The 12,526-nt window shown below is 46.8% G+C and overlaps 1 protein-coding gene across 5 annotated transcripts in view, besides 2 other annotated features; it reads left to right on the top strand.

Moving 5' to 3' along the window:
* The window catches only part of FSTL4 (follistatin like 4), a 645,613-nt gene extending 634,462 nt beyond the window's left edge, over positions 1 to 11,151 (top strand). For all 5 annotated transcript variants that reach the window (XM_011543283.2, XM_011543284.3, NM_015082.2 and 2 more), the window contains 2 exons: positions 5,564 to 5,673; positions 7,809 to 11,151. In XM_011543283.2, coding sequence (XP_011541585.1) covers positions 5,564 to 5,673; positions 7,809 to 8,511 — 813 coding nt within the window. In that variant the 3' untranslated portion in view covers positions 8,512 to 11,151. The remainder of the gene's footprint in view (positions 1 to 5,563; positions 5,674 to 7,808) is intronic.
* Positions 7,606 to 8,105: an enhancer, noted in NCBI's record as "H3K4me1 hESC enhancer chr5:132535193-132535692 (GRCh37/hg19 assembly coordinates)". NCBI's record gives its function as "activates a minimal SCP1, AML or CMV promoter by ChIP-STARR-seq in primed H9 embryonic stem cells {active_cell/tissue: H9 hESC(primed)}" and the evidence as "EXISTENCE:reporter gene assay evidence [ECO:0000049][PMID:30033119]".
* Positions 11,308 to 11,809: an enhancer, noted in NCBI's record as "H3K4me1 hESC enhancer chr5:132531489-132531990 (GRCh37/hg19 assembly coordinates)". NCBI's record gives its function as "activates a minimal SCP1, AML or CMV promoter by ChIP-STARR-seq in primed H9 embryonic stem cells {active_cell/tissue: H9 hESC(primed)}" and the evidence as "EXISTENCE:reporter gene assay evidence [ECO:0000049][PMID:30033119]".

The following is a 12,526-nucleotide window of genomic DNA, read 5'->3' as shown; positions in this document are numbered from 1 at the left end:
TTCACTTTAAACCTCATTTTATTGGGATAAGAGAGGATACAGAGAATGTTGTTTGAAATTGGTAGTTGAGAAGTGAATATCTCGTATCAAATATGACTGAATTCCCCAATTAAAAGCAGAGATGAGCAGACTGGGTTTAAAAACTAGCAATAACTTTTTTCCAAGAAACACACATAAAGTGATAATAAAAGGTTGCCCTTAAAGGGGTGAGAATAGTGATGACAGGTGAACAAAAAAGCATGCATGCATGGTAGCGTCAGGCAATGTGGAATTTAGGGTTAAGAGCACTAAGCATGTTGAGAGACAGTAGGTGCTGAACAGCTGATCTATATCAAACAAACAACGTAACGAATACGTAAAACAAGAGTGATTAACATAGAAGAGCTTGATTTAAAATATACGAAGAGACAAGATGACAGGAAAATTGAATATAAACAAGAAGTTTGGTTTAATAAAAACATAGAAAGCCTTTCATCAGTCAAATAGAATTTTTTAGTATGTCTCCATATAAAAAAGTATATCACTAAAGAAACTTTAAATTTTTGTAAAAGTAGATGTTGTAGGCTATATTTTCTGATAATTAAGAAAACATTCCTGGATATATCTATTGGATCAAAGAGGAAATTAAAAGGAAAACTACCAATGGTCTCAAAAGCAAAGAAAAAGAGACTATTAATTATTTCATATCAAAATTTACAGGATACAGAGAAAGCTGTACCAAGGAATTCTTGGGTCTTAAAAGCCTGAAAAGGAAGTATTTAAGAAATTGAAAGAGAACAAAACTTGCAAGAAAGAATAGAGACTAAAATTAATAGAAAGCAAAACAAAAAAGATGAATCCTTCACAACCCCAATAAAGAAAAAAGCAAACAAAAATAGACAAAATGAGGAATGAGAAAGGGAATTTTATTCCAGATACAGGAGGATGAAAAGACTTGAAAAATAGGCCAGGCGCAGTGGTTCATGCCTATAATCCCAGCACTTTGGGAGGCCGAGGTGGATGAATCACCTGAGGTCAGGAGTTCAAGACCATCCTGGCCAACATGGTGAAACCCTGTCTCTACTAAAAATACAAAAATTAGCTGGGTGTGGTGGTGCACATCTGTAATCCCAGCGACTCAGGAGGCTGAGGCAGGAGAATCGCTTGAACCCAGGAGGTGGAGGTGGAGGTTGCAGTGAGCCGAGATCGTGTCACTGCATTCCAGCCTGGGTGACAGAATGAGATTTTATCTCAAAAAATAAATAACACTACATTGCAACTCTGAGGCAACAAATTTTAGAACCTAGAGGAAATGAGTGAATGCTTGCAAAATGTTTTAAAAAAATTAACTGACTGACTTATGAAAAGAGAAACTTGAGCTAGAGCAATTACCATGGATTTTTTAAAGAAAAATCTACCATAGAAAAATGTACAGCTGAGTTTTGTCAAGTCCTCAAAATATAGATAATTTTACTTGAACTATCCCAAGACTATAGGGTGAAAATGCACAGTTTGTTTTAAATAGCCAGTGTTATTGTGATTATAAAACCTGATTTAAAATAGTATAAAAAATAAAACTGTAGACTAATCTCACTTATAAATACAGAGGCAGAATTCTGTTTTTAATTCTAACATACTATTAAAAATAGAGTCCAGGATGAAAACTCAAACATGTTTTGTGGGGTTGCGCTAGTTTGTGCTCGGGGTGTCTGACTCCGACTCATTTCCTAATTCTTACTGGATTCCAAAGCTTTGAGGATATTTTTTAAGACATTCTGGCTTATGACCCTTAGTAGTACAAGGATTTGTCTGGCTTTGAATTTCATGGGCTCAGTGATTGATTACAAACAAAGAGATGCAAACTACCACTGTTTACATAGTTTTACGGTGTTTCTAAAGATTTTATATTGAAACTTAATGTTTAGATTCACTGAGCTCCTAAAGAAAATAGAATATAAAGTTTTGTTTGGGAAAAGCTGACTTGTTAAATTCTTTTTAATTGAATTCAAATTAAAGCGCATTGAAACCACATGGCTTATGATTTTTTTAAAGGAATAAATTGTGAAGAATTGGTTTTGGTTACAGGAATGACTGGAATCCAAGAGATGACTTGGACCCATGTCCTTGTCTAACATACAAATCCAGGAATATTATGCAAGGATAATTTATTTTAAAAAGGGAGTTTCACAGGAGAGACGCATGTGTATAAACAAACACTACACACACACACACACACACACGCAAAGAAAAAGACATAGAATCCAGGAATGTGTCTAAATGCTCAAGCAGGGAACACATTCCCAGGATGCAACGATGGTTCACTGTCAGGAAATCAGTCTATATTATTCATAACACCAACAAATTGAAAGAGAAAACATGTAGGACGTTTTCAATAAATACTGAAAAGACATTTAATTAAATACAGCAGGCATTCTTAATAAAAAGCCTAAACATAGGAATAGAAGGAAATTCTTTAAATATAATAAAGACTACTTCTCCAAAACCAATAACCAATAGTTTACCTTTGCCTAAATGGCAAAACACTGAAAGCATAATACCAGGAATTACAGCATGATGCTTCCCTTCTCATAACTGGAAAGTCTAGGATATGCATTATCACAAAAAAAAAGTATGAAATCATTTGAATAAACCTACCTTCATCACTGTGGGCTAGGATTAAAGAAACCATTGCTCACAAAAACTGCTCCTGGAAATTCAACTGGCATAGTCTTTGTGGTGAGCCATTGGGAAGTGTTAACCAAAAGCCTGAAAGATTTTTTTTTTTTTTTTTTGAGACAGAATCTCACTCTGCACCCAGGCTGGAGTGCAGTGGCACAATCTTGGCTCACTGCAACCTCCTCTTCCCGGGTTCAAACAAACAATTCTCGTGCCTCAGTCTCCTGAGTAGCTGGGATTACAGGTACATGCCATTACACCCAGCTAATTTTTGTATTTTTTGTAGAGATGGGGTTTCACCATGTTGGCCAGGCTGGTCTCAAACTCCTGACCTCAAGTGATCTGCCCGCCTCAGCTTCCCAAAGTACTGGGATTACAGGTGTGAGCCACCATGCCTGGCCAGTGAAAGAGTAATTTTTGATCCAGCAACTTGACTTCTCAGAATTTTTCCAAAGGCCATAATCATGGATGTGGACAAAAATTGAGCTATGACATTATTTTTAATCTCTCACAAATACAATGTTTGTTACTGCATTGTTTGTATTTGCAAGAGATTAAAAATAATATCCTAATATTGTTTCTAAATATCCAACACTGAAGGATTTGTTGAACACACTTTGGGAAGACTACATGAACGTGTTTGTACAAATGAGGCTCCCTCCACCAAAGCCGCCCTCAGCACCCAGGTTTGGAAGGTTTGGCATCTTTTCCAATGCTGCCCAGCACTCTCTGGCCCACCCCCTTTCTCAGGCCAGCTTTTAGCTGCCTCCCAGCCTGTCCTCTGGATACCATGTTCTCTCCCACCCCTCCACATGCCACTTCCCAGCTGGCTTCATACACCCCTCTGAGGGAGATGCCCAGCCTTGCTGTCCCCACCCTGCCAACTGATGGGCATATCCTGAGATTCAGACACATACATGCATCTCCTGTACCAAGCCCATACGGCAGCAAATGTGAGGGGCTTGACAGTTATCTATCTTTAGGGCACTGTGGGCCCAGCTGTGTGTCAGGACACAAGAAAAAGCCGAGGAGGAACTCGTGACTCAGAGAAACGAGGCTGACATGCCCACATCAGTTCAATGGCCCATGGCACTGCGTTTTGATGAAGTAACCTCTGAATCTAGGGTGTCAGAGCAGTGAAGCGTGAATGACATTGACCAATGACAGCCTGTAATTTTCCATCTCTACTATGAGCTAAAATGACAGGCCTGATACCAAGCAATGATTGCATGGCTTCTTGGAATTCCCTGGCATTTTCTTTTCAGACTCTCTAAGATCCAGTTTCCTAACGCTGATATTTTCTTAACACCCACTTCTATGAGTTTTTTCCTATGAGCTTACCATAGAAGTAATCATTTGGCCTCTTAAAAAAAATCACAGAGAAATAACCTAATGCAACATGAGGACTGCCTCAAACCTGAAAATCATGGCTTGCATCACTCCAGCCCAGCACTCTGCCTGCTGACTGCAGAGGAAAGCAAGACGAAAAAAGACACAAGCCTCCAGCCTGCCTGAGGAGGCAGGCCAGGTGCTGTTTGTTTTGTCATAAAAGTAAAAGCCAGAAGGCAGCTCCATTCCTAAAAAGTAGAAGCATCCAGAGCTCTCAGCCATGGGAGTCACAAGCCCCCACCAGAGTCAGCTCTCACCCTGCAGGCCAAGCCTCAGGCTGCAGAAATCTAGACCCTCCTTTCTACACATGTGGCCACAATATCATGATTAGAAAAAGTGTCTCACATTCCCGTTCAGGGGCCCAGCATCTGCCTCCTCTCCTGCACAGAGGGTCTGGGCTTCTCGGGGCCTGTAAGTTGGCTAAGCCCCTCATCGGACCACTGGTCTGCTGCTTTCTGGGCAGTGGCCTAGAACTTCAAGGCTGATGAGCATATGCAGAAGGCAGGAGGACACAGTCTGGCTGGCTTGGGCCTCACTAGCTGACAGAGGGGCTGCCCAGCCTGACCACAGGGGTTTCATGGCAGGGACTCCAGACCACTCACTCATCCTATCTGACTTCACACACCACCTGGCTTCTGCTCAGAGCTGCCATTGTGCCTTCCCTGACATGAGTGCAGCTGGGACACACACCAGGGAAAGGCTCTTGTCTCCTGCCAAGTCCACAGGGGAGAAAGCGTTACCTCCAGGGAAACAGAGGCAGCCGTGCTCTGTCACTACCAATTTGTACAAGGCACAGGGCCTAATTGTTGACTTTCTACAGCAAGTCTCCTGTGTGAGACCAGGACCTCTTCCCAGCATTCTAAATGCAAGACATCTCAACAGCCCAGCATGTCAGAGTGGCATCCCGTAGGATGTCTGCTTTCTCTCATCAGTCCTGGAGTCGCACCTCAGAGAATGCCTGTGAGCAGCATCCGACAGAGACTACCAACAAACTGGCCCAGGCATCTGGCACCAGAGAAAAATGAACTCCCAGTAGACAGTTCCACCACGTGACATTTTCATGATTGACAGCCCTCTCCCACTTTCCCTAGCCTGGCTTACATGTTGAGAAGGTAGGATTCCCCATTACGAGAGGAGGTGGTCTCTGAGCAACCACAGTGATGTTTCCATTCTGGAGACTTACTTCCCTTGGAAACCCCACCACCACCCCTCAGGTTCTCACTCTGCCATCATGGTGGCTGACAAAGTGCAGCAAGGCAGGCTTAACCATGGGGCAGAAGCAATTCGGGCAATCAGTCCTGTCCCACCACTTCCTCTTTCAGGAAGAATGGGTCCCTGCCTAGGATGTGCCTGAACTGCTCCCACTTTGCTCCTGCCTCTTCCCTGAGATTGAGGTTTGTTAGTCATCTCTCTCCCAAGCACCCCTCTGCCGGGGTGACTCCACCTGAGCGTACAGGTGTCTCCAGGTTCAGCCCCCACCTGCATGGGCCCTCACTAGGATTCCCACTCTGTGTTGTAGGTGATCACAGAAGCCAGCACCGGCCAGAGCCAGCACCTCATCCGCACACCCTTTGCAGGAGTGGATGATTTCTTCATTCCCCCAACAAACCTCATCATCAACCACATCAGGTGAGACTGGCCCATGATGCCTCTAAGGCACTCCCCGCTCCAGCTCAGCCCTGCAAGGGGCAGCATTGCCCAGCATGGGACCTGCTCATTTCTCTGTCTCCTCCACTCCCATGCTGGATTTGGACCCCATCACGAAGGAACAGAGAAGGTCCAGTAAAACAGACCCAGAGCCTAGTCCTCATTGCTTGGGGTCAATAACTCTATTATACTGAAGGCACCCAGCTCCTAATGCCCTCAGTGGCCCAGAAAGGTCAGGAAGTCCCATCCTTAAGGTAAAGACAGCAGAGGAAAGAAAGAAACAGTAGCAGTAAATTGAGCACCCTCTGCTTGCTAGACACAAAAATCTAGTCCCAGTGGTCTTAACCCCTATGTTATAGATGAGGATCAGAGAAGTGAAGACACTGACCAATGTCACACAGCTAGGAACTGGCAAAGTCAGACTAAATGTAAAGCCAAGTCTTGTTTCAGTGCACCATTCTTCCACATTCCCATCTAACCACAGCCCATAATACTTTAGGAACCCCCAGAGCATCTGTGTGGGGAGCCCACAACGAGACAAGGCTTCCTGATTGCCATGGTTTGCCACTACCTAAAACAACCACCCAATAATAAGAGCCATGGCCTCAACTGCAGACCTCGGCCCAGCATGGTCAGTCCCCATCCGTATTCACTTCAGAGAGCCCCCAATATCTTCTGTAAACTTACCACTGCCAGACGACCAAGCCTGTCTCTAAGCCATCAAGACCCCAAATGTCTTGTAGCACTATTTATACCTTTCTATAATCCGCCATCAAGCACCTCTCTGCAGAAAGAAATGATTCGTTTTTGCAAGTTGTTGCTGGAGATGCACCCATTCACCCTCACCCAAGGAAGAAAGCCACTTTATGAACCCTCCCACTGCAGAGAGAGCCTGTGCAAGAGCCTCTAAGAGTATATTAAATGATGAAGCCCTCATAAAGCAGCTGTATTCAGCTGAGGGTCGGGCACACTCAGAGGTTCTGCAGTTCCTGTGTGTGGCTTTTAACTTAAAGTTTCTTATAAGAGCAGAGTTTTCTTTCTTGCTATTTCCATGCTCTGGTTCTTTAAGGATGCTTTAAAGATGTGCCTTGGAGGGAGTATTTTCCTCTACTCTGGGGTACAGTTTTTCTAGAGAAAACTACAGAAGAGATTCTGCTCTATTCCTGCAGGTGTACACAGCACCAAAAGGCCTCTGTGAGCAAGGGATTTAGGCACAGGCTCTCAAGATCAAAGGGAAGTCCTGCCTGGAGTCAGGCTTTTCCATACTTCCAACCAGCCTCCAAAGAGGAATTTTAGAAAATCCAGATTTGAGCAACTCCCACCTACCTGAGTCCCTCTGCTAAAGTTCCCTCTTAGATCAAATCCTCCCAATAGCCCTAGGAAGGAGCTAACCTGGTTACAGTCACTGAGGCTCAGAGAGGCAAGCAGCCTGCCCCAGGCTCTGCAGCTAGCAGGGCAGTGTGCCGGCACCAGGCCATCTGGCTCCGGAGGGAAAAGCTGTCCTCAACCCCAATGCCCAGGGTTCTTCCTACCCGCATCACCAATGTGGTCAGAGAAGAGACTGCCCCTACATGTTTCCCTTCCAGGGGAAGAGGGTACTAACAGGACATCTGCACTTGTTCAGCTGCATCTGCATCCTCAAATTCTAACTTGCCAGTTAGTCTAGAAAACAGCAAGGATATAGAACTCTTTTCTTATCTTTGTAACAGGCAGAATCGGGGCAGGGATCTCTTGCCCTTTTCCTCCATGCTCACCATCCAGACACAGACTCTCCCCTTTCTAGCTGGCATGGGCCTCAGGGAAACAGTTCATAAGTATTATAAATGGAGAAGCAGTTGAAGCGCCTCTCGCCTTCCTCCATAATCATTTCCAACGATGAGTGCATGTTACAAGAGCATAAATCCAGGAACATTTGTAACTCCACTGCGTTTGGATTGAGATCATAGATTATTTGTTTATGAAGACATCCCCTGCAGAATGATAGATCTTATTACTAGGCTATTAGATCACTGAAGGATTATAATAAAGGGAAAAGGCAGAGGATGTAATTGTTTAAGACAAATGACAGATTCCCCACCCCTGGAGGCAACTTCTGACCTCAGTTCTTCCCCTCCCAGGTTTGGCTTCATCTTCAACAAGTCTGATCCTGCAGTCCACAAGGTGGACCTGGAAACAATGATGCCCCTCAAGACCATCGGCCTGCACCACCATGGCTGCGTGCCCCAGGCCATGGCACACACCCACCTGGGCGGCTACTTCTTCATCCAGTGCCGACAGGACAGCCCCGCCTCTGCTGCCCGACAGCTGCTCGTTGACAGTGTCACAGACTCTGTGCTTGGCCCCAATGGTGATGTAACAGGCACCCCACACACATCCCCCGACGGGCGCTTCATAGTCAGTGCTGCAGCTGACAGCCCCTGGCTGCACGTGCAGGAGATCACAGTGCGGGGCGAGATCCAGACCCTGTATGACCTGCAAATAAACTCGGGCATCTCAGACTTGGCCTTCCAGCGCTCCTTCACTGAAAGCAATCAATACAACATCTACGCGGCTCTGCACACGGAGCCGGACCTGCTGTTCCTGGAGCTGTCCACGGGGAAGGTGGGCATGCTGAAGAACTTAAAGGAGCCACCCGCAGGGCCAGCTCAGCCCTGGGGGGGTACCCACAGAATCATGAGGGACAGTGGGCTGTTTGGACAGTACCTCCTCACACCAGCCCGAGAGTCACTGTTCCTCATCAATGGGAGACAAAACACGCTGCGGTGTGAGGTGTCAGGTATAAAGGGGGGGACCACAGTGGTGTGGGTGGGTGAGGTATGAAGGGCCCAGAGCAGAGCCCTGGGCCAAGGAACACCCCCTAGTCCTGACACTGCAGCCTCAAGCAGGTACGCTGTACATTTTTACAGACAAAAGCAAAAACCTGTACTCGCTTTGTGGTTCAACACTGGTCTCCTTGCAAGTTTCCTAGTATAAGGTATGCGCTGCTACCAAGATTGGGGTTTTTTCGTTAGGAAGTATGATTTATGCCTTGAGCTACGATGAGAACATATGCTGCTGTGTAAAGGGATCATTTCTGTGCCAAGCTGCACACCGAGTGACCTGGGGACATCATGGAACCAAGGGATCCTGCTCTCCAAGCAGACACCTCTGTCAGTTGCCTTCACATAGTCATTGTCCCTTACTGCCAGACCCAGCCAGACTTTGCCCTGACGGAGTGGCCCGGAAGCAGAGGCCGACCAGGAGCAGGGGCCTCCCTCCCGAACTGAAAGCCCATCCGTCCTCGCGTGGGACCGCATCTTCTCCCTCGCAGCTGCTTCTTGCTTTTCTTTCCATTTGACTTGCTGTAAGCCTGAGGGAGAGCCAACAAGACTTACTGCATCTTGGGGGATGGGGAAATCACTCACTTTATTTTGGAAATTTTTGATTAAAAAAAAATTTTATAATCTCAAATGCTAGTAAGCAGAAAGATGCTCTCCGAGGTCCAACTATATCCTTCCCTGCCTTAGGCCGAGTCTCGGGGGTGGTCACAACCCCACATCCCACAGCCAGAAAGAACAATGGTCATCTGAGAATACTGGCCCTGTCGACTATTGCCACCCTGCTTCTCCAAGAGCAGACCAGGCCACCTCATCCGTAAGGACTCGGTTCTGTGTTGGGACCCCAAAAAACCAGAACAAGTTCTGTGTGCCTCCTTTCAGCACAGAAGGGAGACATCTCATTAGTCAGGTCTGGTACCCCAGATTCAGGGCAGACTGGGCTTGCCTGGCAAGGTATGGGTGGCCTCCAGGCTCAATGCAGAAACCCCAAGGACACGAGTGGGGCCAGGTGAGTTCCTGAAGCTATACCTTTTCAAAACAGATTTTGTTTTCCTACCTGTGGCCCATCCACTCCTCTCTGGTACCCCATCCCCGCATCAGCACTGCAGAGAGAACACATTTCGGCGAGGGTTTTCTTACCCACATTCCCCAATCAATACACACACACTGCAGAACCCAGAACAGAAGGCCACAGGCTGGCACTACTGCATTCTCCTTATGTGTCTCAGGCTGTGGTGACTCTCACATGGGCATCGAAGAAGTACAACCCACATAGCCCTCTGGAGACCGCCTAGATCAGAGACTCAGCAAAAACAGGCTCGCCTTCCCTCTCCCACATATGAGTGGAACTTACATGTGTCCTGGTTTGAATGATCATTTTGCAAGCCACACGGGTTGGGAGAGGTGGTCTCACCACAGACGTCTTTGCTAATTTGGCCACCTTCACCTACTGACATGACCAGGATTTTCCTTTGCCATTAAGGAATGAACTCTTTCAAGGAGAGGAAACCCTAGACTCTGTGTCACTCTCAACACACACAGCTCCTTTCACTCCTGCCTGACTGCCAAGCCACCTGCATCCCCCGCCCCAGATCTCATGAGATCAATCACTTGTATGTCTCACGCAACTTGGTCCACCAAACGCCTGTCCCCTGTAACTCCTAGGGGTGCGCCTAGACAGGTACGTCTGTTTTTTATTTTAAAAGATATGCTATGTAGATATAAGTTGAGGAAGCTCACCTCAAAAGCCTAGAATGCAGTTTCACAGTAGCTGGGATGCATGGATGACCCATCTCACCCCTTTTTTTTTCCTGCCTCAATATCTTGATATGTTATGTTTACTCCCAATCTCCCATTTTTACCACTAAAATTCTCCAACTTTCATAAACTTTTTTTTGGAAAAATTTCCATTGTATCAGCCCCTGACAGAAAAAGGATCTCTGAGCCTAAAGGAGGAAAAGTCCCACCAACTACCAGACCAGAACACGAGCCCCTCTGGGCAGCAGGATTCCTAAGTCAAAGACCAGTTTGACCCAAACTGGCCTTTTAAAATAATCAGGAGTGACAGAGTCAACTTCTGCAGCACCTGCTTCTCCCCCACTGTCCCTTCCATCTTGGAATGTGTCTAAAAAAGCATAGCTGCCCTTTGCTGTCCTCAGAGTGCATTTCCTGGAGACGGCAGGCTTAGGTCTCACTGACAGCATGCCAGACACAACTGAATCGAAGCAGGCCTGAAGCCTAGGTCAGGGTTTCAGGAGTCCAGCCCCAGGAGGCAAAGTCACCAATGCAGGGAGGTAAATGCCTTTTGGCAGGAAAACCAATAGAGTTGGTTGGGTGGGGAGTCAGGGGTGGGAGGAGAAGGAGGAAGAGGAGGAAGGCCAGACTGGCCTGCCCTTTCTCCCATACTTCACCCCAGCAGAGGTTCATGGGACACAGTTGGAAAGCCACTGGGAGGAAATGCCTCACTACAGGGGGGCCTCCTGTAGCAAGCCCAGCCGGTAATCCTCCTAATGAACCCACAAGGTCAATTCACAACTGATATCTTAGCTATTAAAGAAGTACTGACTTTACCAAAAGAATCATCAAGAAAGCTATTTATATAAACCCCCTCAGTCATTTTGAAATAAAATTAATTTTACAAAAATTCGATAGTTTTTTTTTTCCCAAAATGACAAAAAATCTGCACCTGTGGTGACAGGAAGGCTTTGAAATAGAGGCCCTCATTCTTCTGCTCCAGTGGGCAGAACCTTGCATAAAGGCTCCGGGTCCAAAAGCCCACCCAGGCAGCCCCAGACGGATGGCAGGAAGGGGGACTGTCAGCTTCGGGACGATGGCACGACCTGCCTGCATGAGGAGGGTTGATGGGCATTGCACCCACGGCCAAAGCTATCATCCCAGCCTCACCAACACTGACCCAGCCCACCCTGCCTGGGGCTGGCCCAGGCTTATTTCTTCAGTCTCCAAGTCATTCGAGTGTCCTACTTTTCCCCAAGCTCCAGGAAGAAGCTAGAAGAGCCCTGTAAATCCTGGCTGGAGCCAACTACTAATACCAAACTTCAGGTACTTTGACCTAGAGATAGCATCACCAGAGACAGAAACTCAACCCCTACAATTCCCACCCCCAACCCAGACATCTCCCCATCTCCATCTGTCCAGACAAGGCTCCCCATTCCAGGTAGGCACTGGAAGCCGGCTTTCAACCCCAAATAAAGGAGAGAACGGCCTGCTGCCATAGAGATTGCAACCACTGAGTCTTCATTTAGGAAAGCAGCCAGGAGTTGGCTTTGTACGGCCACATCTTGTTTTCTGTCGACCAATAACCTGTGAACTAAAGAAGATTTCAGAACTGAGATGTGAAACAGATTCACTCTGGATATATTTTTCTACAAGGGGCTTAAAAAGTATAGTTGATCATTTATCATGATGTGTTTCATTCCATTATTACAGACAACAAACCGTCTTCACTAGCAAATCCCACAACTCTCTCTCCCACTCTTCAAACCTCCTTTTCAGAAGCAAGCCTCCAGGAGAGTTGACACTACCACTCCCAGCTCCTTCCTATGCATCCACCAATCTACCTCACGCTTGCCCCTGCACCCAGCACCCCCGGAATGCTACTCCCCTCCACCCCCAGCCAGGAGGCCAGGCAGGTAACATAAGATTGAAGCACTGCCACAGAAGTCCTCGACAGCCTCCCCCACCCAGGACCCCAGGTTCCACTCCAAGTACAGCCAGAACCCATAGGGACACAGCCCCTTGCTGCCCAGAATCACACCCTCCAAACCCTCGCTTGCAGACCTTTGGAGTTAGATGACCAAGACTGGAGAGAGCTGGCTGGAAACCATCAGGGAAGTCAGGTGTCGTCCAGCAGGAATAGCGAGACCACGACATCTCAGCCAAGCATCATCTCTCAGAGGACCCAAGCCCCGCAGCCTCCCTCCGACTCCCTTTTTATTCTCCCCTCTTTCCTGTTCCATTCCTGTGTCTCAGGCCCCCTGCTCATGAGCCATTCCACAACA

Source organism: Homo sapiens, chromosome 5, assembly GCF_000001405.40.
Source record: "Homo sapiens chromosome 5, GRCh38.p14 Primary Assembly".
Lineage (NCBI taxonomy): Eukaryota > Metazoa > Chordata > Mammalia > Primates > Hominidae > Homo > Homo sapiens.
The sequence above is the reverse complement of the archived record's forward strand: the minus strand, read 5'-3'. Positions and strand labels throughout refer to the sequence as shown.